Source organism: Homo sapiens, chromosome 5 (assembly GCF_000001405.40).
Source record: "Homo sapiens chromosome 5, GRCh38.p14 Primary Assembly".
Taxonomy (NCBI): domain Eukaryota; kingdom Metazoa; phylum Chordata; class Mammalia; order Primates; family Hominidae; genus Homo; species Homo sapiens.
The window spans coordinates 132,480,788-132,504,745 of NC_000005.10; the positions used below are offsets into that span (position 1 = coordinate 132,480,788).

At 53.3% G+C, this 23,958-nt stretch overlaps 1 protein-coding gene across 8 annotated transcripts, besides 15 other annotated features; it reads right to left on the reverse strand.

Annotated features, from left to right (window-relative positions):
- Positions 822-9,986, reverse strand: IRF1 (interferon regulatory factor 1). 8 transcript variants are annotated; one of them, NM_002198.3, is made up of 10 exons: positions 9,758-9,986; positions 8,605-8,696; positions 7,139-7,238; positions 6,167-6,343; positions 6,008-6,057; positions 5,770-5,899; positions 5,464-5,586; positions 4,880-4,929; positions 3,575-3,710; positions 822-3,288 (listed from the first exon to the last, which is right to left on the reverse strand). In NM_002198.3, the coding sequence occupies exons 2-10, from the start codon at positions 8,689-8,691 to the stop codon at positions 3,164-3,166; spliced, it is 978 nt and encodes a 325-aa protein (NP_002189.1). In that variant the 5' UTR covers positions 8,692-8,696; positions 9,758-9,986; the 3' UTR covers positions 822-3,163. The 8 variants fall into 8 exon arrangements, 6 of the variants coding, with proteins under 6 accessions (NP_002189.1, XP_047273109.1, NP_001341853.1 ...); XM_047417153.1 differs by lacking the exon at positions 8,605-8,696; NM_001354924.1 differs by lacking the exon at positions 5,464-5,586.
- Positions 5,210-6,409: an enhancer, noted in NCBI's record as "CDK7 strongly-dependent group 2 enhancer chr5:131821689-131822888 (GRCh37/hg19 assembly coordinates)". NCBI's record gives its function as "activates an origin of replication core promoter dependent on BRD2, BRD4, P300/CBP, MED14 and CDK7 cofactors, with strong dependence on CDK7, by STARR-seq in HCT116 cells {active_cell/tissue: HCT116}" and the evidence as "EXISTENCE:reporter gene assay evidence [ECO:0000049][PMID:35650434]".
- Positions 8,818-8,867: a silencer, noted in NCBI's record as "silent region_16324". NCBI's record gives its function as "represses an Ori minimal core promoter by ATAC-STARR-seq in GM12878 lymphoblastoid cells {active_cell/tissue: GM12878}" and the evidence as "EXISTENCE:reporter gene assay evidence [ECO:0000049][PMID:35858748]".
- Positions 8,859-9,506: an enhancer, noted in NCBI's record as "H3K27ac-H3K4me1 hESC enhancer chr5:131825338-131825985 (GRCh37/hg19 assembly coordinates)". NCBI's record gives its function as "activates a minimal SCP1, AML or CMV promoter by ChIP-STARR-seq in primed H9 embryonic stem cells {active_cell/tissue: H9 hESC(primed)}" and the evidence as "EXISTENCE:reporter gene assay evidence [ECO:0000049][PMID:30033119]".
- Positions 8,859-9,677: a biological region, named in NCBI's record as "H3K27ac-H3K4me1 hESC enhancer GRCh37_chr5:131825338-131825985".
- Positions 9,398-9,677: a silencer, noted in NCBI's record as "silent region_16325". NCBI's record gives its function as "represses an Ori minimal core promoter by ATAC-STARR-seq in GM12878 lymphoblastoid cells {active_cell/tissue: GM12878}" and the evidence as "EXISTENCE:reporter gene assay evidence [ECO:0000049][PMID:35858748]".
- Positions 9,938-10,387: a silencer, noted in NCBI's record as "silent region_16326". NCBI's record gives its function as "represses an Ori minimal core promoter by ATAC-STARR-seq in GM12878 lymphoblastoid cells {active_cell/tissue: GM12878}" and the evidence as "EXISTENCE:reporter gene assay evidence [ECO:0000049][PMID:35858748]".
- Positions 10,528-10,667: an enhancer, noted in NCBI's record as "active region_23081". NCBI's record gives its function as "activates an Ori minimal core promoter by ATAC-STARR-seq in GM12878 lymphoblastoid cells {active_cell/tissue: GM12878}" and the evidence as "EXISTENCE:reporter gene assay evidence [ECO:0000049][PMID:35858748]".
- Positions 10,801-11,446: an enhancer, noted in NCBI's record as "H3K27ac-H3K4me1 hESC enhancer chr5:131827280-131827925 (GRCh37/hg19 assembly coordinates)". NCBI's record gives its function as "activates a minimal SCP1, AML or CMV promoter by ChIP-STARR-seq in primed H9 embryonic stem cells {active_cell/tissue: H9 hESC(primed)}" and the evidence as "EXISTENCE:reporter gene assay evidence [ECO:0000049][PMID:30033119]".
- Positions 10,938-11,147: an enhancer, noted in NCBI's record as "active region_23082". NCBI's record gives its function as "activates an Ori minimal core promoter by ATAC-STARR-seq in GM12878 lymphoblastoid cells {active_cell/tissue: GM12878}" and the evidence as "EXISTENCE:reporter gene assay evidence [ECO:0000049][PMID:35858748]".
- Positions 11,188-11,237: an enhancer, noted in NCBI's record as "active region_23083". NCBI's record gives its function as "activates an Ori minimal core promoter by ATAC-STARR-seq in GM12878 lymphoblastoid cells {active_cell/tissue: GM12878}" and the evidence as "EXISTENCE:reporter gene assay evidence [ECO:0000049][PMID:35858748]".
- Positions 13,961-14,040: an enhancer, noted in NCBI's record as "active region_23084". NCBI's record gives its function as "activates an Ori minimal core promoter by ATAC-STARR-seq in GM12878 lymphoblastoid cells {active_cell/tissue: GM12878}" and the evidence as "EXISTENCE:reporter gene assay evidence [ECO:0000049][PMID:35858748]".
- Positions 15,059-15,308: a silencer, noted in NCBI's record as "silent region_16327". NCBI's record gives its function as "represses an Ori minimal core promoter by ATAC-STARR-seq in GM12878 lymphoblastoid cells {active_cell/tissue: GM12878}" and the evidence as "EXISTENCE:reporter gene assay evidence [ECO:0000049][PMID:35858748]".
- Positions 15,638-16,612: an enhancer, noted in NCBI's record as "H3K27ac-H3K4me1 hESC enhancer chr5:131832117-131833091 (GRCh37/hg19 assembly coordinates)". NCBI's record gives its function as "activates a minimal SCP1, AML or CMV promoter by ChIP-STARR-seq in naive H9 embryonic stem cells {active_cell/tissue: H9 hESC(naive)}" and the evidence as "EXISTENCE:reporter gene assay evidence [ECO:0000049][PMID:30033119]".
- Positions 15,979-16,238: a silencer, noted in NCBI's record as "silent region_16328". NCBI's record gives its function as "represses an Ori minimal core promoter by ATAC-STARR-seq in GM12878 lymphoblastoid cells {active_cell/tissue: GM12878}" and the evidence as "EXISTENCE:reporter gene assay evidence [ECO:0000049][PMID:35858748]".
- Positions 20,227-20,346: an enhancer, noted in NCBI's record as "active region_23085". NCBI's record gives its function as "activates an Ori minimal core promoter by ATAC-STARR-seq in GM12878 lymphoblastoid cells {active_cell/tissue: GM12878}" and the evidence as "EXISTENCE:reporter gene assay evidence [ECO:0000049][PMID:35858748]".

The window sequence follows — 23,958 nt, forward strand, 5'->3', positions numbered from 1 at the left end:
GGGCCTGTCCAGGCATCCACATATAGAATATTTACCCAGCAGGAGTCCCCCTGCCACTCACACAGCATCTCCAAGATCAGGGACCAGTACTTCCTGAGCTTGACAGAGAATGAATGTGTCAGACTGACCTCTGCCCATTTTGTAGTTTTCTCATCATTTTCTCACTCAGTCTTCCCTTTTCAAGGGCCCACACTCTTCCCGAGGGCTGGGCCTAGTGAGCGGGGTCACAGTACATATGGTTTCTGGGACTGAGAAGGTGGAAGATGTGTCCATAGAGCTTTTGTTTCCTAAGCAACGTATTACTGCCATGATTCCATTCCCTAGATGATGCTGGTGATGCAAGCTGGCTTCTCTTGGCCAGCCTACCTACTGCTGGGTAGTGTTTATGCCCCATGGCCAGACACTGAAGAGGGAGACAGGAAAAGCACATATCCACACCTTCCACCCTCAGACATTCCTGTAACTTGAGCTTATCTAAGGGGGCATTGTCATATGTCAGGGGTTCCCAAACTACGGTCTTCAGAAACACTGTTTACCCTCCATAGAGGTTGTGTGCATCAGCCCAGGCAGAATCCTGCTTCATGAAGGTGTTTTCCTAATGCATGTGTGCATGGACCTGTCTCATGCTACACTGCAGGGCTGGTATTCAGCACCAATAGTTATTGTTGGCTGCTAAAATAGCAAACTACTCAAAATGGCAGGTAAATAGCCCCAAGCCCCTATCCCCAGTGTCCTCCCACTACTCAAACCCCTCTCCCTCAGATCTGCCCCCAGTCCAGTATCTACCTGCACTGTTCAATATGGTAACCACTGACCACATGTGACTATTTACATACAGTTTATTAAATGCAATTAAAAGTTCAATTCCTTATTGCACTGGCCACATTTCAAGTGCTTAGCTGGCACATGTGGCTAGTGCCAGTGCCTACTGTATTGAACGGTACAGACAGAGCATTTCATCACTCTAGAAACTGGATGGCAAGTGCTACCCAGCACAGCAGCCGTGAGGACCTTTCTTGGGCTGCTGACTGTTCTGTCTGTGACTGTGTCATATCAACTGACTTTTTGGAGCAGCATCTGTGTGTTAGCAGGACACATCACCTATGGCACATGCCTCAAAACTTAACACTCCTTGGGCCCCAGGAGCCCAGAATCAACTGACAGCCCTGGTGATAGTCAAGGACAGGTGACTATGTTTATATAAGCATGTTCCTATGACAGGAATGTCCCCTCCTTCTGCCATTGTCTATGTGAACATAAACAAAAGGATTTTTTTTTTTTTGAGACAAAGTCTCACTCTTGTCACCCAGGCTGGAGTGCAGTGGCACAGTCTCAGCTCACTGCAACCTCCATCTCCCGGGTTCAAGTGATTCTTGTGCTTCAGCCTCCACAGTAGCTGGGATTACAGGCGCCCGCCACCAGGCCCGGCTAATTTTTTTTTTTTTTTTTGAGACGGAGTCTCGCTCTGTCGCCCAGGCTGTAGTGCAGTGGTGCAATCTCGGCTCACTGCAAGCTCTGCCTCCGGGGTTCATGCCATTCTCCTGCCTCAGCCTCCCGAGTAGCTGGGACTACAGGCACCCGCCACTAGGCCCGGCTAATTTTTTATATTTTTAGTAGAGACGGGGTTTCACCGTGTTAGCCAGGATGGTCTTGATCTCCTGACCTCGTGATCCGCCCGCCTCTGCCTCCCAAAGTGCTGGGATTACAGGCGTGAGCCACCGTGCCCGGCCTAATTTTTGTATTTTTAGTAGAGATGAGGTTTCACCATGTTGGCCAGGCTGGTCTCAAACTCCTGACCTCAGGTGATCTGCCCACCTTGGCCTCCCAAAGTGCCAGGATTACAGGCATAAGCCACCATGCCCGGCCAAATGAAAGGTTTTTTTTTTTTTTTTTTTTTTTGGTGCCCGGGCTGGAGTGCAATGGCATGTTCTCGGCTCACTGCAACCTCCACCTCCCAGGTTCAAGCGATTCTCTTGCCTCAGCCTCCTGAGTAGCTGGGATTACAAGCACCCGCAACCACGCCCAGCTAATTTTTGCATTTTTAGTAGAAATGGAGTTTCACCAGGCTGGTCTCGAACTCCTGACCTCAGGTGATCCACCCATCTCGGCCTCCCAAAGTGCTGGGATTACAGGTGTGAGCCACCGCGCCTGGCCGAAAGGATTTTATAATAGATGCATGTCCCTGTTCACCCCAAAGTCAAGTTCAGGCGGGATGCCAATAATAAGTCCATCAGTGTTTCCATAAAAAGTAAAATCATCTACAAGTTAAATTTCTCTCTAAAAAGGCCACACCCCTTATAAACAATTTACTTTTTATAAAAAGACAAATGTACATATTTACACACGTCCTTATGTGTTCACACATGACTTAATGGTTAGATGACATTTCCAATTTTAAGTCATACCAAGGCGCTCACACTTCCCTCCCTGGGCCTGTTGAGGGCTGCTGGGGCTTGAGGGGGTGGTGGGCGCCGAGCAAGGCACTGTATAAATAAATGCAAAGGCCAAGAGCTCGGGGGAAATGTTAGTGTACACCTCTGATCAGAAATGTGGCAAGATCCACACGAAAAAGTGCCAAGTTTTTTTCCCAAGCCCCTCAGCCAAAGCAGGGAGCAGGGTAGAGCTCCTCTGAGGCTGAGGGAGCATCGCCCCGAAGGACCCCACTTTCCTTCACATTTCACTGGCTTTGGAACAGTCCCCAGGGCTCAGCTGAAAAGGGGGTAGTTCTTTGGGAACGAGATTCATTTAGTGCAATTTTCTCTTAGTGCAGAGCCAGCCCTGGGATTGGTGTTATGCTTTTCTGGGGTCACTGGTCTGTTCCCCTAGGAGCCAGCCAGTGACAGCGAGACCCTCTCCAGGCAGCTGGGCTCAGAGGAAAAAGCCAGACACTGACTCCTGTCCAAGTCCCTGACCTGATACACTGGTCTCAGAACCTCATCTTCCCAGGAGGCAGGGCCAGCTTTACACCACAAGAAAAACCCAGACACTGGCCTGCCAGGCCCTGAGAGGTCAATGACCCAAGGAGGGAGGCCCCATCCCCACTTGGCAGTGGGGTCACACTTGGCTGTTGAGGGGCCCACAGAAGTCCAGCTTCTCTGCACCATATCCACCATGATGCCAGGTCCTGCTTGCCTAGAGGAATAAGAGGGGCCCAGGGGCCCTGCTACGGTGCACAGGGAATGGCCTGGATGGAGGGCAACCGGACTGGGGTCAGCAGGCTGTCCAGCCAGGTGGCATCCATGTTCTTCAGATCTGTGAAGACACGCTGTAGACTCAGCCCAATATCCCCTAGAAGATGTGAAGAAGGTTGTATGAGGGTAGGGGACGGTGGCATCAGGTGTGCTTCCCCCTACCCCTGAAGGCCATAGACATGGCCTCTGCTCTTCCCAGCACAGCAGTAAACATCCACTCAGCTTCAGGCAAACCTTAAGGCATGGCAGCCGTAGCTAATTCACAATGTGTCAGTACCCCAGATGCTTTACCGCCCTGCTCCCTGGCCCTGCCCCCAAGCTTTCTCCATCCCTACGTGGTTCTCCCTCATCTAAGAAGCCATAAGGATCCAGGGCCTTCTTACCCCCTGGGCTGTCAATTTCTGGCTCCTCCTTACAGCTAAAGTCTCCATAGACAGAGGTGGGCTGGACTCCAGGTTCATTGAGTAGGTACCCCTTCCCATCCACGTTTGTTGGCTGCCACTCCGACTGCTCCAAGAGCTGGGGACAGAAGAGCAAGAGGCTATCAACTCCCTTCCAGTGCAGACTCACCCTGTGGCCCTGCCCTCAATGAGCCAGCTCCTCTCAGCCAGTATCACACCCTTGGCCATTTTCACAATCTCAGATAGGATGCAGAAGTGCACTGCAGTCAGGACAAGGGCCCGGGAGGGAGGAGGCAGAAATGCATGTTGGCACTGGTCCTCAATTCATTTTCCCACCCCTCTCACACCCACTCTCTGGTATAGCATCTCCACGACTTCCCTCTCAACTGTGTAAGGACATAGTAAGAGGGAATGTGGCTTAAAACAAAGGTTAGCATAATAAATCAAGAAAAGATGACTAGAAAAGCTAGAGATAAGGAACGACATCCATGTCTCAATTTTTTGGGCTAATGGAACAGCTGGCGTACAACTACTGCAAAAACTTTTTTTTGAAATGGAGTTTTGCTCTTGTTGCCCAGGCTGGAGTGCAATGACACAATCTCAGCTCACTGCAACCTCCGCCTCTCAGGTTCAAGCGATTCTCCTGCCTCAGCCTTCAGAGTAGCTGGGATTACAGGCATGCGCCACCAGGCCCAGCTAATTTTTATATTTTTGGTAGAGATGGGTTTCACCATGTTAGTCAGGCTGGTCTCAAACTCCTGACCTCAGGTGATCCACCCACCTTCGCCTTCCAAAGTGCTGGGATTACAGGCATGAGCCACTGCCCCCGGCTGCAAAAACTATATTCACTTTCAAAACTGAAGCAGAAAAAAAAACCTGGAGGATAATTTGCTAACTTTTTCTATAAAGCCATCATCATATTAACGGATCCTAAAGGCTGATTATTGAAGCCTGATGTGCATTTCCCGAACTAGCAGGGCTGGGGCATGTTGGGGCAGAGGATGCAGGCCAGGGACCCATCGCTGATAGTGCCTGACTCACAGAGCTGTCTGATGCCCCAAGGCTTGCTTCAGGACGGCCTGTCAGAGGCCAGGCCTCCCACCTGCCTTCCCTTCCCATGGTGGCTTTCCCACCAGTCAAGCCACGTGAATGTGGCACTTGTGGGACAATGCAAGCAGCCAGGTGACAACAGCAGCTACCCATCCTCTGATTTGGAAGCTTCACTGGTTCTCTCTCCTCACTGAGAAACGGTCACTTCAAGAGTGCCCAGGTAGGAAGGGGCTTTACCTTCATGATGTCCTCAGGTAATTTCCCTTCCTCATCCTCATCTGTTGTAGCTGTGGATGGGGAAAGCAGAGAGGTTGGCTGGCAGTCAGCCACACTCACCCTGCAGTTCCAGTTCCAGCCCACCAGATCCCCCTGCCCTTTCTCTGTCTCTCTGTCTCTCTGACACACACACACACACACACACCCTCCCGGTGGACCTATCTGCCATAGAGATTCCAGAACAGGACCCTGGCCTGGTGACTCAGCCTCTCAAACCCTGAAGCCACGCCGCTTCCCACCCCTACCCTACTTCCTTCCTCACCCTCAGATGCTGGGCTACAGAGGAGGAAGGAGAACCAGCACCCCAAAATGCAGCCCCTGGCCCCCTTCCCTCCTCTCACCAGCCCCCACTGTACTGCAGCCCACTCTGAACTGCCTTCCTAGTGTCCCCGTCGCTTGCCTCCCCCTATGGTGGCTAAGACTGGGCAATGCCCAACTCAATCAATTCAGTGCCAGGTGGAGTTCTGATCATCTTTTCTCTCTCAGGAAGCCCTTCACAGGACCCAGACAGTCAAGCAGGCAGGCCAGGCCCCAGGAGCACCAACCTTCAGAGGTGGAGGGCATGGGTGACACCTGGAAGTTGTACAGATCACTGGTGCTGTCCGGCACAACTTCCACTGGGATGTGCCAGTCGGGGAGAGTGCTGCTGACAGCACATGGCGACAGTGCTGGGGAACAGCAGAAGCCACAGGTCAAGGTTGTGTGCTTTCTTAGTTTGCAAGACATCGAGCGCCCTCCGACCAACCCTGCAGCCTGCACTAATGGGCCACCATGTGCCAGCACCATGCCTCCAAGAGAAAGAGTCATCCCACTGACCTGTGGGGTCTCCTGCCAGACCTGGACCAGCTCACCTGGAGTCAGGGCCTGCTCCACCTCCAAGTCCTGCATGTAGCCTGGAACTGTGTAGCTGCTGTGGTCATCAGGCAGAGTGGAGCTGCTGAGTCCATCAGAGAAGGTATCAGGGCTGGAATCCCCACATGACTGTCGAGGGAGAAAGCAGCTTAGGCCCAGGCCCACCTTAGCATTTCTTCCACTGCTCACCCTGGCCCACAGGTGACCAAAGGCCTGGCTGCTTAGGACCACACTCACCTTCCTCTTGGCCTTGCTCTTAGCATCTCGGCTGGACTTCGACTTTCTTTCTGTGGGGCAGACGGGCTGTCAGCCTTGGTGCAGGCTCTCCAGCCCCAGCTGACCTCCTTCTACCCTCCCTCCCTGAGGGCTTCCCAAGGACCCAGAGTCCTTGGATACCTTTTCTCTGGTTCTTGGTGAGAGGTGGAAGCATCCGGTACACTCGCACAGCTGAGCTGCCCTTGTTCCTGCTCTGGTCTTTCACCTCCTCGATATCTGGCAGGGAGTTCATGGCACAGCGAAAGTTGGCCTTCCACGTCTTGGGATCTGGCTCCTTTTCCCCTGCTTTGTATCGGCCTAGAGGGCAGGAGAAAAAAGAGGATCGTCAGGGCCATGGGTAGGGATCCTCAGCTGCCCCTGGCCTGAAGGAGGAAGGCAAGGTACCCCTGACCTCTTATGCTACCAGAGAGCCACAGTGGTCAAACCAGCAGGTACTCCCGGTGACACTCTGCAGGTCCTAGGCCCTGGGCCTTCTCAAATGCCCAGGCTTGGCTTAAACACATCTAGCGGGCCTCAGTGAAGGGCCCAGCCAGAAGCACTAGAGTCCCCATATCCCCAAAGTGTACTATCTGTGTCTCAGACTATGCCCAGTCTTCCTCCTTGGGCTATCAGCAGCCAGAGGGTAGAGTGGGCACAGACTGGGCAGCAGAGAACAGTTACTAAATGGGTGGGCTGACTGTTCTGAGATGGGCCTAGAGCTCCATCTCTCAAGGATAAAGGAGGCCACCAACCACATGAGGCTTGGACCAAGGGCCTTGGTCAACACGAAGAAAAAGGCAGACCTGGGTCTCTTTCAGTGCCCTGGCTTACAGCTGCTTTTCACAGATGCTTTTGCCAGGGAGAACTTTCATCTAGCCACAAACCCCCTGAAGCCACACACTTTCTAAGATCTTGGCTTTTCCCTTTGAGAATTTGCTGAGATGATCGACTCTCTTCTCCAGAAACACAAGTCTGCCACCAGCCCCTCTTCCCAGTAATTCTGCATGTTGTCTCAGGGAGCTCAGGGACCCCAGTGAAGAGCCTCTGTGTTAACGTGAGTGCCTCCTCTTGTCTCTACCCTGGGCTTCCTAGGCCTGAGTCCCAGGCACACACCTGTGTGAATGGCCCAGCTCCGGAACAAACAGGCATCCTTGTTGATGTCCCAGCCATGCTTGGCAGCATGCTTCCATGGGATCTGGAAGATCATCTCCTCCTGAACAATACACACATACACATAAGGCTGTGTCAGGTCAGAGACCACAGACTTTGGGGCTGAGTCTGAGACCCAGGCCTGCCCAGCCAGACAGGTCTGAGAAAAGGCTGACTTCCCCTTTTTTCCCCTGACATCTGGCTTGGACACCCATCTTGAGGCTGGCTTAAACAGACCACTCTGGATCTCTCAGGAGGGACACCTAGTTTGGATGAGCTGCAGCATTATTAGCTCACAAAGACCTCCCTCTGCCTGTTACACATGTGCTAGGACCCACACAGGGCACCCTCCCCCAAAGCCCTGGTTTTGAAGCTCTGGGATGTTTCTCTCTGGCTTGTAAGCACCCACATGGAAGTAAGAACTTCTTCCATTAGAAAGGACTCCTCAGGACACCTGGGAGCATGGGCTCTTACACAGGGGGTCCTGGTCATACCACTGAGGGAGCTCTGGGCTAGACTTGGATGGTGAACACTGTGTAACCCTGGCATTGTCACTGTATCTCTTTGCCCCTCAGTTTTCTCTTCTCGGAAATGAGAAAACATATCCAACAAAATTTTGAGGATTAAAAACCAGAGGATGTGTAGGGACACAGTGACAAATATGAAGTCTAAGGTCTTACTGTTATTATATCACTTATGGTTAACAGTAAAGATTTCTGAGTCAGACCGTTCAAGTTCAAATCTTGGCTTCATCACTTTTTGTGTGATCTTATGATCTACCTCTCAGTGCCTCTGTTTACTTATCTGAAAATGATGACATTAGTAAGATCTAACCCACAGGACTACTGCGAGGATTAAATGACACAATGTAAATAACATACTTAGCAGGTGCCAGGCACACAGGGAGTGTTCAGTAAGCATTAGCTATTATTATGAATACTATCATTGCTACTAAGTCTATAGGGTCTATGTTGCCCCAAGTGCACCAGCTATAGGCTTCTTGGGCCAGAGTGACTGGTGCAAGATTAACTCGTTTGTCCTCTGCTAAGCCAGGCACGTTTCTGCCCAGCAGCATCCACTTCTCAGTCTTCTATTTGTTCGATTGGAGCCCTGCAGAGTGCTGTGTATGTTTGTAAGGGTCTCGCTTAGAGGAGAGCAGAACTCCAGCTCTGCAGATGCTGGAAAGTCTTGCTGCTGGAAACTGGAAGTGCCTTCAGGTGGGTGCCCTACCTCAAGAAGGGAAGAAGGCAGGAGTCATGCAAGTGAGGCCCAGGCTGGGCCGTGCACACTCCCTGCATGCAGGACCCACTGGGAGAAACACCTGCTTGTCCCGTTATCACTTCCCTTTTTGAGCTGCATCTGAAGCTTTGGTCCCTCCAGAAGTACATGGGTTAAAACAGTGGCAGGAAAACCCAAAGAGTTACACTCACTTTATTAATCCAGATGAGCCCCGGGATTTGGTTGGAATTAATCTGCATCTCTAGCCAGGGTCTCATGCGCATCCGAGTGATGGGCATGTTGGCTGTAAAGAGAACACAGAGGCTCCAGTCTGGAATCTGTTGAACAGTACCTGGGCAGTGACCTGCCCCACCCGAGGTCACTTAGTTACCCTCCCCTCACCTCAGCCAGCTGCTAGGTACTACACTCAGTGCGGAGGGGAGCTGCGCTGGAATAAAACTGCTCTCCAAATTTTTTCAGCATCTTAGGCAAAAATGCTTTTGCCCCTTCCTTCAGCCCCTCCCAGCCAGTCTCTGGAGGAGACAGGCATGCAAGTGATGGCTTCAGGATTCATATGCAGGAAAAGAGACAAAATGCACAGATACCCTAATTTCAGAACTTTTCGCTCAAAATTCAAATCCTTTGGGAAGGGAGGGACTTCTTTTGCTTGATGCCAAGAAGAAATTCCCTTGACTTGAGTTGTAACCACTAGCTAGCAAAGGGCTAGCCGTCACCCTGAACAGCCCCCTCCCGCCCCCCTGAATCCATTCTACGCCTTCCTGACAGCCACAGCGCCCACAACGCTAAGACCAGGACGCTAACCCTTCCGGCCCGGTTTCCCCTCCTCTGGAGAAGTGGCCCAAGGAACACCTGTGGCGCCTCTTCCCGCAGTCTCCGTAGGTCACGATTCCCTCCAGCCACCTGGGCAGTAAGCCAGCCCTTGCCACCAGCACAGGGAGCCCAAAACCTGTCGCCTGGGCGCGGAGCTGGGACCGCCGAAAGCCGGGAGCACTGGGCGCCCACGCGTGGGCTGACACTCGGTCCCCGGCACGGCGTGTGGATGCGCGGGACGAACATAGCGGGCCACCTACAGGCCCCTGGCGGCTGCGCGCACGCAGATCTGCGAAAGCTGCCGGGCGCCGGCAGCCTCGTCCGGGTGGGCGGTCCACGCCGCGTCCCGCCCTCCCCGCGCCGCGGCCCGCGGCTCGCAGCTCCTCCGGCGCCCCCCGGAGCCCGCGCGGAGGCCCGGGCAACGCCGCGCGCCGGCGAGTCTCCAGCCTGGAGCTTTCGACCCCCCACTTCCTGGTGCCCCGCGCGCCTTTTATTCGACGCCGCCGGTGCCCCGCGCCTCAAAGGCGTACTCACCTCTGCTGCAGGAGCGATTCGGCGGTCGCGCGCGAGGGTCCCGGCGACGCAGGGGCTGCAGTGAGGGCGCGCGGAGCGCGACTCCGAGTGGAAGAGGGAAGAAGGCAGAGGTTGCCGGGTTCTTAAGGCCGCCGGGCACGGCCGGCGTGGACTGGGCACGGCTCCGGGTGGCCTCGGTTCGGCGGGGCTCGGGCGCACGTCTTGCCTCGACTAAGGAGTGGCGAGCTCTGCCAGGGCAGCGGCGCCACCGAGCAATCCAAACACTTAGCGGGATTCCCCAGCCCTGGCCGGCCCCGCCCCCGGACAGCCGCGCGGGCGCCCATTGGCCGGCTGCGTGCCGTCATTTCGGGGAAATCAGGCTGTTGTAGAGCTAGCGGCGAAGGGGAAGTACAGGGCGGCTGCTCCGCCCCACCCTCTCCGGCCGGGCGCCACCGCCCCGGGGCCACCGCGGGCCCGCCCCGAGCGCTCCCAATCCACCCCTGCTCCGGCTTGCCCGGAGGAGGGCTGCCCGGGACAGCCCAGCGCCCCTGGCCCCAGCCTGTCCTCTCACTCCGCCTTGTCCCAGCCGGCTGGCTCCTGGGGCCATCTTTTCACCCTCCTGGCGGGGCGGGGGCGGGGGTATATCTCCCGAACGCAGGTGAGGGGATCGCCCGGGCACTTGCCGCCCTCTCCAGTGGGAACACTGGGCCGAATCTCCCGACTGGCAGCCTGGCTCCTCAAGCTTGCCAGTGGGATATCAAGAAGGGAGGGTTTCAGTCCTAGCACTACCCCTGTTTTTAGGGGTGACCCCCTCCCTCCAGGTCACTCACCTGCCCTGGGGAAGTGAAGAAGGCAGAAAGCCTACCCTGCCCCGTGTGCTGTCTGGGGCTGCTGGACCAGGGGAAATCCCAACTTGGCCGCTGCTGGCACAGCCCCCAAGGGACGCAGGACCTCTGTTTTTCAACCATAAAATAATAGTAGCCCTACCTTGATGGTTTGCTGTGATGGGAAGAGATTGTAAAGCACTATGCTCCACTCGGGCAACAGACGCTGAGTAGTTTTCAAGGTCGCCGTTGCAGGGTCTAATAGTGACCAGGATGACACCCCACCCCTTTTCGGTCTGCCTCCCTGGGACTCCCCCTGGCTGGCTTTAGGGAACAGAGGAGGAGAAGGGGTTCAGAGAAGCCCAGACGGCTGAGTGAGGGTAGGGGTGGGCTAGCTCTGATCCCTCCTAGCACTCTTGCCTCAGGCCGCCTCCAGAGCCTCCCTGTGGCCCGCGTATGGGAGTTCCGCAATGGAAGCATTGCTGTCATCTCTGAGTCCCCAGGGCTTGGCCCAGAGAGGTTCTGGGCAGCATGGAGGAATTAGCTCAGGGCTGATCAACGCCATGGGGCTAGCCAAAGGGTTGGGGAGCCCAGGTCCCATGCTCCTTGGTAAGGCCCCTACTTAACTCTCGCGCACAACTAGTCCCCGCCCCACGTATAGTCCTAGAGACTTGACTGGGTGTTCATTTTCCATCCAAAACTCTGGCCCAGGAGGCTTCTTCCTTCATCTCCCTAAAGCTCCTGCAGAAGTAAGTTACTCTCCCAGGCGTGTCATTTCCTTCACCCCAGCTCTCCCTCCAGGGCAGCACCCCATTTTGCAGGCTATAAATAGACACACCCATGCAACATTCGACTTGCCAGTCACTCTACCTCCCTCCCGTAGAGGAAATGCATGGGTTAATCCCATTCTGGCGCATTGCAATCTGAGTGCTGTGACCAATGCCAAACCTGGTTCCCAGGATACCAGCAGGAATGGGCAAAACTGTCTACCAGATAGAGGTGGGTCAGGAGCTAGGAGAGGAAAGGAGGTAGGAGAAACTGAGGAAGGAACCTAACTGAGTGTTAAGCAAAGTGGAGGGCAATGACACTCTGGAATGGAAAGGTGGGTTTTGGGGTACTTTAAGTGACAAATGGAAGTGGGGACTTGCTACAGGGACCAAGACCTTCTGAGCAAGAATAAGAGAAAACAAGTGACCCCTGAGTCGTGGGATCCTTTCTTGGTACAGCAAATAGATGCTTGTCCTTCCCCTGAGAACCTGACACATCCACTGGAAAATTCAGGATGAGATTAGGGAAAGGAAGTTTGCATCTTTGTGGTCTGATAAGTTGACCACAGTGACCCTGTGAAGGCAACAGGACACTATAAAAAATGCTTTAAAACAAAAACTTAATTTTAATTCACAGATACAGGTATAAATATACCCGTATATGCATATGTATATTTAGCCATAATGAGCATCTTTCCATGTCATGAAATGTACTTATGCAATGTCATTTGTAATAGGTATACATTATTCTTTCACAAGGATAAATAAAAATTTACCCAATTAATCCCCTATTGTAGGACAGTTAGGTTATTTCCATTTTTTCGTAATACAAACAACACTATTAGCTAAATCTTTGTGCATATCAATAATTTTTTGCTTAGGAGAAATTCCCCAGTTAGGATTTACCAATGAAACTGTCATTTACATTTACATCTTTGACCTTTTTTTTTTTTTTAACCTTAGGGATTCTTACTTTATTTTGAAGCCTGTAAGAATATGCTTATTATGACTAGGGGTGCTATACTCCAAATCAGTGAAATAAAGCTAAGCCATGTTTAAGTACCCAACATTTTTATTGTAATGGCTTTTGATGAATCACATTCTAAGATGTAGAACATTCTGTGATCCCCAGCAGAACACATAGGCTCCTGTAGGCTCTTATTAATTCGGAGCCAGCCCTTTTCTTTCCCACCTGGTCTTCTGGGTCTTCCTTCCCTGTATCGGGTTGTGATTTCATAGTCCAGGACCAGACTATTGTTGCCCCAACCTCCCCTTGGGCCTCCTTGCCTTGCCCAGGTAGATGGGGAAGATGGTGCCTCTGCACTGGAATGATCTCCCTAACTCGGATGATCTCCCTAACACTCGGGGCCACCCAGGAGCCTTCTGAGCTCCCCTACATTCAGCCCCACATTCAAATCTCTGCTCAGTCTTGTCCTGGGGTCCCATTCCAACCTTCTGTCCCTGACAGCTTCCCTACCCTTGGCAGTAGGGAAGATGAAACTAAAGGGGGATGAAAAGAGAACACAGGATTTGAGTCTGAAAGCCTGGGTTCTTATTGTGCTTTTTCCACTTGCTATGTGATCTTAGCAAGTTACTGTCCCTCTCTGGGGCTCAGTTTTCTCATCTGTAAAATAGAGATAATCTCTCTCCATCTCTCCTAATTGTAAAATTAGACTATCAAAATTATTTCCAAACTGTAAGACATAAGTCAAATGAAATGTATGAACAGGAACGCATGAACCTTTCACTGTATTTCCATTATCTGAACACACTGTGTTTGTCCCCTCATCCCTGTCTCCTCAGGATACTTGGCAACACTCACCCTCTCTCCATCTCTCTCTCCCTTGCCCACCCCACCACTTCAATCTCTGTGTCTTTTTTTAAGGCCCAGAGCATATGCCTGATCTCTTCAAAATGCCCGCAAAGCAACCAACCAGAAGTCCTTTCTTTTCCCTCCTTGGACCCTTTGGTCCTTAACTTTCCTATGTTTCCTTTTCACCACTGGTCACTTTCTACATGGTGGGAACAAACTCTGGGGAACAAACTCTACATTTTTTCTGTGAGAAAAAGAACTCTCCATGTTTTCTGTGAGAAATCTAAGCAGGTTCCTCATGCCCAGCAGCTGAAGCGAGCTAGGGGTTAGCTGAGGGTAGCCAGCACCCTGCACTGTGCAAGGTCTTCCTTACAGATGCCTCTCATCCATAGCCTCACTCAATGAGGGTGAATTCATTGTGTGGCCTCTCTGTATTGGGACCTGGATTTTTCTGTGCTGGCAAGAGGAGGCTAACTGGCTGGCAGGGGCTCCTTTGAAGTGACTTCTGCAATCAGGATGCTGAAGGCAAGATCATCTCACACACACATTCACACACCCTGTGGGAGCCTCTACCCTGACAGACAATTCTTGTCCCCAGTCCCCTCCCTCAGGCTCTCAAAACACTGTTCACCCCCTAAGTGGGCTGCAGTTAGTCCTGAAGCCCAGAAGCATGGCTCCCAACATGTCACCATGCACACACACATCAATGCACAGGGCCACACGGACCACACTAAGGTGATGCCGCCATCCTTGCACTCCCCCGAAGAGTGGCTACCATGGTAGGCACTCAGTAAATCCTAGTTAAGTTGATGTGTGACCCCTCTTCCTCTGGAGTTTAGTGTTCCTTCTATCTCAGATTATGAATTCTCTCAGATACAGACATTTCTTGGCAACCTGTGGTTAAATCCTCTGCTGATAGAGATGAGTGTGTGCTCAGAAATGAGAGTTTGTGAGAGCTGAGGTGCAGGTGCCAGTGAGGTTTAAACTAGGTGTTTTTTTGTTTTGTTTTTTTGAGACGGAGTCTCGCTCTGTCACCCAGGCTGGAGTGCAGTGACGTGATCTTGGCTCACTGCAACCTCTACCTCCAGGGGTTCAGCAATTCTCCTGCCTCAGCCTCCCAAGTAGCTGGGATTACAGGCACCCGCCACCATGCCCAGCTAATTTTTGTATTTTTGGTGGAGATGGAGTTTCACCACATTGGCCAGGCTGTTCTCCAACTCCTGACCTCAGGTGATCCACCGCCTCGGCCTCCCAAAGTGCTGAGATTATAGGCATGAGCCACGGCGCCCGACCTGAACTAGGTTTTCGACTGGGAGACCTGCTACCTGTGGAGCCTGCTACCCAGAGAGGGGGCCACGGTCCCCAAAGCAGACAAACTCCCCAGCATGCCTTCCAGGTTCCAGGTCCAGAAGTAGTAGGGCTCTCTGAAATGCTCAAAGCCTTCATCTCGATTTTCACAGAAACCTGGGAGGCAGGCAGTCCTAAACTGTGAATTGCAGAACACAAGCCAGAAATAAAAGCATCCAAAAGCTTGAAGGCAGAATCCAAGGGTCATCACCCTGCCTGCAAGGAGCCTAACTGGAGAGAAAGAAAGTCCCTTAATTCATTCAACACATATGAATCACGCAGGCCTGCTTTTTGGTGAACCCCAGGTTTGGTTCTGGAGATACACTGGGGCACCAGACCAGCCCCTCCCCTCTCAAAGGTTTGGCAAAATATGCTGTATGACACAGCAGAATAAACGTTGCACTGTTATAAAATTCCTAAATGCAGAATGTGGGGCTGAAGCTGGCTGGAAAATCACTAGGGGGTCATGATAGAATACTGAGCCAAGGAATTGCTCCAGTGCTCAGGGCTGTTCCGGAACCCCCTGAGAGCGGGGCGGGGTGACAGTGTGGGCTGCCGCTGATGGCCGCTGCGGAGCTTCATTTCTTATAAACACCGCCGTTGGGAGGAAAGAGAACTCAGCCCCCTGTCAGTCCCATGGGGCCCCGAGGCCGGGGGAGGCTCCTGGGCCAGGCCCAGCGGCCGCGACCTGGAGCGGGGCTTGATGGGATCAGCACTCTCCTCCCCCGCGCCAATGGGTGCTGCAGAACGGCCCACGCCCACTGCCGTTCGCCCGGGGCGCCCCTGGCAGGCTTCTCGGTCTTTGTGGGGGCTGCAGCACCTCCACTTCACCGTGATGTGGAGTCCTTCGCCCCCAGGTGACCCACGCTCCACAGCCCCGGCCAGAACTTGGTGGGGGACGCGGGGGGGGGGTGTTTGACGGGGAGGGGGCACAGTCCTTTCGGGCCAACTTCCACATTCCTGCTCCGCCCAGGCGGGGGGTGAGTCGGGGTGAGCAGCCGGCTCCAAGCTGGCCGGCTTCCTGGAAAGGGAGGGCCAGCAGGAGAACTGCAGATCCTCCCAGCCCTGGTGGCTGCCCGCCTCCTCCCTACCTATTCCTCCCCACCCCACTTCCACCCCTACCCCCAGCAAGCTGGCAGCCCCGCCCCTGCCAGGCGGCTCACCTGCCCGCGACCAAGGCACTTCCTCCTCCTTCCCCGCCCAGCCTCTTGCTATAGGCCATGGGTTTGCAGCCGGGTCAGCAGCTACAGGCTGTGTGACCTCAGGCAAGTTACTAAACTTCTCTGTGCCCATTATCTCACCCTGCGAGATGGAGCTAGCAACAATCGGGGTGCAGAGCTTTCCGCGAACACCTCTGCACTTCCCTGCTCCCCCCCCACCTTCCCCTTCCGCTCGGTTTCGCAGGGACATAGGGGATGCACAGAAAAGGCGCCCGCTTGTAAATTGCCGCAGGGGAAGGCCGCGTTGCGTCCCTTGCCGGGGCACTGCCATCCGTTGCAGCCTGAGACTTGGGATAGACCTGCGGCTCTCCCGTTGGAGGCGCGGGTGGTGCTGAGCGGCTGGACGGATGCTGCCCGCCGGGGTTCGGCGCGCAGGCACTCAGATGGCTCCCACCTCCGCCTGGGCCTTGCAGCTGGCGGTGGGGCGGGGCGCAGGGGCCGGGTAGGGGAGGGCTTGGGTCCGGCCATCCAGTGGGGGTCAGCCCCATCGCCGGGTTCCGCGGGGCCGCGCCGAAGGGGCGGAGCCTGGGTTTCGGTTTCTTGCAAACGCGGCGGCAACAGGGAAATCGAGGAGTTTCCGGGAACCGAACCACGCTGGGAGCGCTGAGGTCTGCGCAGCGGCGGGGGCCGGGGGACGGGCGGGCGTCCAGTGTTACCGGCCAGTGGCCAGCTGGAAGTTCCAGCGGGAGCCGGGGAAAACCGGCCCCGGAAAAGCCCCACCTGAATGCACCTGCCCAGGCCTCTCCGGATGGTGTTCATGCTGAGGGTGGGGGTGTGAAGGATGGACCTGCCTGCAGGGTGGCCTTTAGGGAATGAGGGAGGAGTTCTACAAGCTAAGGGGTTTGAGGGTGTGCACGCGGGGAAAGAGGGGACTGTGCGCAGGCAGGTGGGATCTGAGGAATTGGGATATCCCCTCAAATGACTGAGGTCCCCAGCTGTCCCCTCACTGTCACATCCCATCTTATTGTCCTTATACGATGAGGTCTCCTTACTGAGATCATATCCGTAGTGTCCTCTTTTGCTTATTTGTTGGAGGATTTCCCCGAACATGACTTGGAGCCCTTGAGAGTGAGCCCTGACTGTCTGGTCTAGTCTCCTGGATCTAGAACCCACCAACCTCCACGGGGGGCTTGTGACTGTTTACTAAGTGAGAAAAGGAGTAGGGTGAGTTCGAGGCATCTGTGAGGTCCATATGCCTTCTGACCTGCTCCCCCACAGGACCCCTAGCCCACTCAGGTCCTGCCATGTCCCCAGTTGAAGGAAGCCCCACTCTGCAGAAGATGCCTTGGCTTTTGTGGGAGGGGCTTCCCTTGTAGTTCCCTGAGAACTGCCTTCCAGCTGGGATGGCTGGGCAGAAGGCGGACTGTAGTCATCACAGAGGAATGCTGGCCGTGGGGTCAGCCACTTCCTTCCCTCCCCAGGGCTTGGAGCTCAGGCCAGGGATTATGGTGGGTTGGCCCTGGATCTGAGACAAGAAGGCTGGGAGTTTGGGTGGCAGAGGGAGAGTCCAGTACCCTCCCTGATCTCTGCAGCCCACAGCAGTACCTGGGGTCAAGGTGGACAGTGTCACTGGCAAGCCCATGTTTCCTAAATGCATGCCTTTGAGACCACAAGTCTATGGTAAGGATCTCTTTCCTTATGGCCCTGAGACCATGGCTCTTGGAAAGACATAAATCAGACTAAATGGAGCTCCCTCAGCCCAGAAGAGCTGGGGCTGGGGCAGGTATCAGTGGTGGCTATTCTGGAAGCAGCCAGCTAGCCAGTGGAAGGAGAGGCAGCAAGACCTCCCTAGCATCCCTGTATGGGCCAACACTGACTTTCACCAGCCCAGGCTTAGGATCAGGGTGGCTGGCCTGGGAGAGGGCCAGGGAAAGTCCAAATACTGCAAGAGTGGAGCTTGTGCCATGAGCGCCTGGCAACCCTGGTGACTCAACCTGGGAATCCCAACTCCAGGGGCAGCCCTGGAAATGAGGCTCAGGACAGTGAAGGAGTGCCACGGAGGGGCCCACCAACCGTGGCAGCTTTTAGTGAGGCCACAGATCAAATAGGTTGTTGTCCCTTCTTTCTCCTGTGGCCCAGGGTTAGAAACAGTGATGCTGGTCCTCTGCCCGGTCCAAATAGTATTTTTGATCCAGGGAATCCAACTCTAATCCTAGCCCATAAATTTGACCTGGCAGAGGACCTGGTCCTCAGAATGTCTGTGTTGGGCTCCATTTGATGTTACATCTTAGAAATGGTAGATGTAGCTCAAGCTAATAAATACCCACAGGAATGTGTCTTTGTGGTCTGGACTCAGCAAATGCTGAGTTATTGGTATATTTATGGAAGGAAAGCAGGGCAGAGACAGGAGAACAGGTGTCCCTGTGGGTGCTCGGCCCTGTTCACTGTTGTAGCCTCAGGAGCCAGCCTCAGCTGAGCAGAGAGCAGGTGCCCCATGAACCAGTGTGACATGGTTGGATGGATGGATGGATGGATGGATGGATGGATGGACGAACAGACAGATGGATAGATAGGAATATGGATGGTGGATTCAGATGGCCTCAGCAGCATGCACATTTTCCCCACGATGGTCTTTGCAATAAGACAATTTCCACAGAAACTGGTGGGTGCCCCAGAAGGAGGGGAGGAAGAATGTGGCTTCTCCAAGCAGCGCTGTGGTTGTTTCTGCCAGGTTCTATCTCTCCAAGGGGACCTCTGCTCCCTTTCCCATAGCCCTGTTGACATGTGTGGCCCCTCAAAGTCCTGCAGAGACTGGGAGCCTAGTGGCAAGGGCCACCCAGACACAGAACAGGGGAAAGGAGCTGTTAACATTAGCTGGCTGTTCCATTCCTCTCCTGGAAAGTAGGTCCACAAAGAAATTTAGGTAGGACCTCAGCCAGGTGTGAAAGATTCCAGTTTTTTTCTCTGCATGAGTAAGTCCTTGGGAAAGCATCTGTTGACCAATTGACTGATTGACTGGCAAGAGGAGCAAAGGGTCAGCAGAGACCCACCTGCCTGGATGGTGTGGGAGAAAGCATGACCGCCCTCCACCTTGACAGGTGACAAACCACAGTGAATGTGTCACCACATCAGATAGCCAGCATGAATTGCTGCACTGGGAGTGTTTAAAGGTCTGGGTGCATAATTGGGAGCAAAATGGACAAGGGTATGCTGGGAGCTCTAAGCCAGGAGGCCTCTGGTGGCTAGTCACCTCCAGGAAGCAAAAGCCGTTATTTCTTCCTTGAGAATCCCCGTGAATATTGGAGAGGGCTTCTCACAGCCCCATGGGCTGGGGCATGAGTGTGTTATGCTTTGCTTTTAGTGGAGGAGGTGACTCCAGAAGGCTAAAGATTTAGGGACAGCTGATGGTCCTGGAATGCTTCTCAGCCTTGGGCCTACGCTGGGCCCTGTGAGGGGACTTAGAAGTAAGCACCGTGGTCTCCACTACTAACCTGCATGTGAGCTCTCCAAGGACAGAGGATGCTCAGAACCACCCCCACACCCCCACTCTGGCACCCAGCACATTGCTCTCAGGCAGTAGGCACTTAGTAAGTGTGCTCTGATTGCAGTGCCAGACGTATGTCATACCTCGAGTAAGAGGCAAAGAGGCAGAGATGCTGGGAGTATGGAGACGGAGCAGGTTATCTCAGTCATTGTTCACAGATGGCTACTCTGAGGAGGGGACAGTTCAGCAAAGCCTCAAAGGATGAGTCAAAGGTTAATAGGCTAATAGTAGGGGAGGGCATTCCAGAACGTGAAAACAGCCCAAGGAAAGGCTTGGCAGCTCAGAAGTGCAGAACGGATCTCGCTTTTGGTGTGGCCTGGAGTAGCTGCCCCAGAAGCTGAGGCTGGACCAACCAGTAGGGGCCACACTCTGAAGAGCCTGGATGCTGTGCTCAAGAGTGGACTCTATCCTGGTAGACAGAGGCCGCTCAGGGCTGGACTGATGTTGCCTTCCTTTCTGGAGCCAAGGCCCAGACCAGGGTCTATCATCAGGTGTCTGTTGAATTAAATGCTAGGGCAGGTCTTGTGAGGGCCACTGGTGGCCTGACCTATGCTTTAGAAAACTTTCTGTGGCTGCTACAGAGGATTACGCCTGTGGCACACCAGGGCAAGACTAGGGTGAGATAGTTTCCTAAAGGCACAACATTTAAGGAGGTACTCGCTCTCAGGGGCCAACCCTATACTTGGGTGAGTCTGACGGTGAGTAGCTCCTTAAAGGTTTCACCCTAAGCACCTGCCCTGCCTGCTTGCTCCACCCTATCTGGTCCCTTCTGCACACTGGAGGCTGGGAGGTAGACTAGAGGCAGCTCAAGTGATCCAGGCATATTAGGGCTGTGGCCACAGGGGATAGAGATAGGCCTAGTTGAGAGCAGAATCAGATGACAGGATTTGCCAGGACATGAGACTGGCTGGAGCAGGACCCATCCCCCCTCCCTGGGTGCCCCATTCTGGGAGAAGTGTAGGAGACCCCCCACTCTGCCTAGGAGTCTATATGTCCACAGCCAGGGCCAAAACAAGATCTTAGGCCTTGGCTTCTGTCCTAGGTTATGAGTCTAGGGAACCAAGGACACTAAGCTAAAGAGAGTAGGGCAGCAGGTGAAAAAGCCACAGGCTGCCCCAGGAAGGCCCAGGCCACTGGAGACCACAGCTAGAACCTACAACCATGTCCCGAGACTGCTCGGCCTTGCCCTTTGGATGCTTGGGCACAGCAGGAAGGAAGTGATAAGGGTGCCTCCACTGCTGGATGGGGCGTGTCTGTCAGTCCATCTTCCCCCCGCTGTCTGCCCAGCAAGACCAGGGGCCACCCCCAGGTGCTCCCCAGGGGATTAGCAGCTTGGTTCCCCAGCCCACACCCCTAGAAGCTCTGACCCTATGGCAACAGCACCCCCTGCTGGCTAATATGGAAAACCAACCCCTTTCCCTCCTCTAGCAGGCGGAAGTTTAGGGGTCTTGGAGAAAGAGAAGGGTGCAGGCACAATGCTGCGGGAAAGGGTGGGGGCAGGAATTCAGGATGGACTTTGGCTATGGCAGATAAGCAGGTGCCACCTGGTAAACAGAGCACCTATTTCCTGATCAGTAGCCTTTGAACAGATGCCAGAGAGGCCAGGACACAAGCAAAGGCAGAAATGGGGGTTTCTAAGGTAACTGCTGAGCGAGGCTGGCTCTCGTGGGAGTCCCTGCCTTCTCCTACAGCATCATGGCCCAGGAAGGCCTGCATCCTCTGTTGAGCACTGTTCTCCTCAGGTGGGCTCAGGAACTCCCTCAGATTCCCCCTGAGCAAGCCACCTGGCCCCACAGAGGATTTGGCCTAGGACTGAAGGCTGAGAGCTAGGCCTGAGACAGGGTAGTGCCCCAGGCACCCCAAAAAGAGGATTTGTCCCTAAAATTCCTCCCGCAACTATCCAAGGCTAGGAATAGAGGCAGGGACACATCAGCAGAACAAAATCTCAGAGCGTCCCTGAGCAGCTGCCTGGCTCTTCAGATGCAAACCTGGTTAGACACACACTTCTCCTGAGCTCTAGGCCCATGGCTCAGGCACAAGGACCACCTCGGAGTGCTGGATGAGGTGCCCAGTGGACAGAGGAGTGAGAGGACCCAGTGTATGCCACTTTGACCCTTCAGCTGTGAGCCAGGAAGTCCAGGCAGACACAGCCACAAGCAGGGCCATGCCCTGGGCAGCCACTTCCCAGAAAAGTTTCTGCCGCAAAACAGAGAGAGTGGCCTTCCCTGCCCTGCATGACCCTGGCACCTGGAGTCCTCACCTCAGATAAGAAGCCAGTAGTTCTAGGAGTTTACTTACATCATGGCTCTTGATTACAGTGAAGACCGGGGCCTTGCCCTACCCCAGGGAAACTTCTCTCCCGGGCCAATGGTGTGGATGGCTGCTGTTCTCTTATGACTCAGTGTGGGCCTGGTGCTCAGGAGAGCTGCTCCTTCCCATGCCCTGGATGTGAGCTCAGCAGCCATCTTGATTCACCAGGACAATGTGAGCTCCACACACCACCCTCAGACCCTCACCTACCGGGCTCTCAGGGAGAGATGAGGCCTCCCGGAGAGTCCACAAAGAGAAAAAAGCGGCTTGGCTGCCAAAACTGCCCACGCACCCCAGATGCCATGCTCAGCTAGCAGCCCTGGTGCCACACAGCCTGAGAGCAGGTGGGAGCCATAGATGCAACAAGCTGTCATCAGGCATGGGAGGGCTGGGCTGCCATGCTGAGGCTGGTGGGGTGGGAAAATCAACTTGCAGCCACCAGGAAGTACAGGAGCAGAGTAAACAACAGTTGAGGTCAAAAGGGTCCAATTTCCTTGGACAAGCAGGCCTCAAGAAGGCCTCTGAGCTGCACTGCCAACTGTATTGTATTCTTGTGTGTGTTCTGTGTGAACCTAACACCCCCGGCGGCCAAGGGAAGCCCCTTGGCCCTCCCTTGGGTGGCAGCCAACACTAGGACCAGAGAAGTGGCAGTTGTGTCATAAAGTTCCCAAGACACTTCTGGAGGAATCAATCTTCTTTTTTAGTCTTCTCTGCTCATTTTTTCTTGTCATTTTCCTGTATGTGTATCTTTTCCCTCTCTCTTCTAGCCCAGAAATGCTTATTGACCACTGGTGGCCTATTGGGAGTGGATTACTTGACACATTCACATTTACTCTGTGCCCAGATGCTAGGCACAGAAGTAGGTGCTATGGGCACAGGCATTCGACAAGAATTTATTGAGCCCATACTATGTGCCAGACATGGCTCTAGACCCTAAGGATATAGAAATGAATAAGGCAACACCCCTGCTCTTATGAAACTCATATACCGGTGGAGGCAGACAACACACAAATAAACAAGGAAAGTGTCACATCGTGATAATTATTCTGAGAAATAAAATAGCATGATATCATACAGAGTACAGAGGTGGTCACATTAGATTTGGCACTCTAGGACTGTCTATCTGAGGAGGTGACATTTTAGTTCTCTAAGTGACAGAAGGGGTGACAATGTGCAGAACAAGGGGAAGCGCATTCCAGGCAGAGGGAATAGCTAGTGCCAAGGCCTTGGGAAAAGAACAAGCTCAGTCTGTTTGCAGGAAAAGATTGGTGTGGCTGCAGCATGGTGGGCAAGGAGGTGAATGATAGACGATGAATGATAGAACATGCAGCTCATAAGGTAGGAAGGGGTCAGATAAGGTGGGCATTTGGGGCCTCTGATCAGGGGCTTGGGCCTTATGCACAGGGTGAAATGGGCCAGTGTGCATTTTACTTATTTTTAAACTTTTAAGTTTTCTGTTTTTCATTTTTTTAGATGGAAAAATGTTGTCCAGGCTGGTCTCGAACTCTTGAGCTCAAGCATTTATCCTGCCTCAGCCTCCTGAGTAGTTGGGATTACAGGTGCTCATCACTGTGCCTGGCTCAGTGTGCATTTTAGAAAGCTCACTGGCTGCTGTTTGCAGACTGGGCTGCAGTGGGGCAAGTGTGGAAATAAGGAGACCACTGGGGAGACTGGAGTAGGAGGGATGAACTAGAGTGGTGGTGGTGGCAATGATGAGAATGGGGAATGAACCCAGGCAGAGTATAGAGGGGAGGACACACAGAGATGAATAAAATGTGGTGGCTCCGAATGGGAGAAAATATTTGCAAAACATATATCTAGTAAAGGGTATGTATCTAGCATATGTAAAGAATGCTTACAACTCAATAAGGCAATGCATTTTTGTTTGTTTGTTTGTTTGTTTGTTTTTTGAGACAGAGTCTCACTCTGTAGCCCAAACTGGAGTGCAGTGGCACGATCTCAGCTCACTGCAACCTTCGCCTCAGGGGCTCAAGCGATTCTTGCGCCTCAGCCTCCTGAGTAGCTGAGACTACATGCGTGTCACCACGCTCAGCTAATTTTTTGTCTTTTAAGCAGAGATGGGTTTTCACCATGTTGCCCAGGATGGTCTCAAACTCCTGAACTCAGGTGATCTACCCACCTCAGCCTCCCAAAGTGCTGGGATTACAGGCATGAGCCACTGCACCCATCTTGACAACCAAATTTTTTAATGGACAGAAGATTTGAACGAATTTTTCGCCAAAAAAGGATACGCAAATAGTAAATACACATATGTAAAGATGCTCAACATCATTAGTCATTAGGGACATGCAAGTTAAAACCACGATGAAATGCCACTACACATCTACCTGGATGGCTAAAATGAAAAAGACTAACTGTGCCAAGTGTTGGCAATGACGTGGAACAACTGGGATGCTCCTAAACTGCTGGTGGGAATGTAAAATATTCATTTTTTCT

Bases quoted from the DNA above. Each gene is read 5' to 3' on its own strand.
- IRF1 (NM_002198.3), bottom strand. From the start codon at position 8,691: ATGCCCATCACTCGGATGCGCATGAGACCCTGGCTAGAGATGCAGATT. The intron at 7,239-8,604 runs GTGAGTGTAACT...TGTATTGTTCAG, and splicing joins GGCTCATCTGGATTAATAAA to GAGGAGATGATCTTCCAGAT. The intron at 6,058-6,166 runs GTATCCAAGGAC...TCTGCCCCACAG, and splicing joins CACCAAGAACCAGAGAAAAG to AAAGAAAGTCGAAGTCCAGC.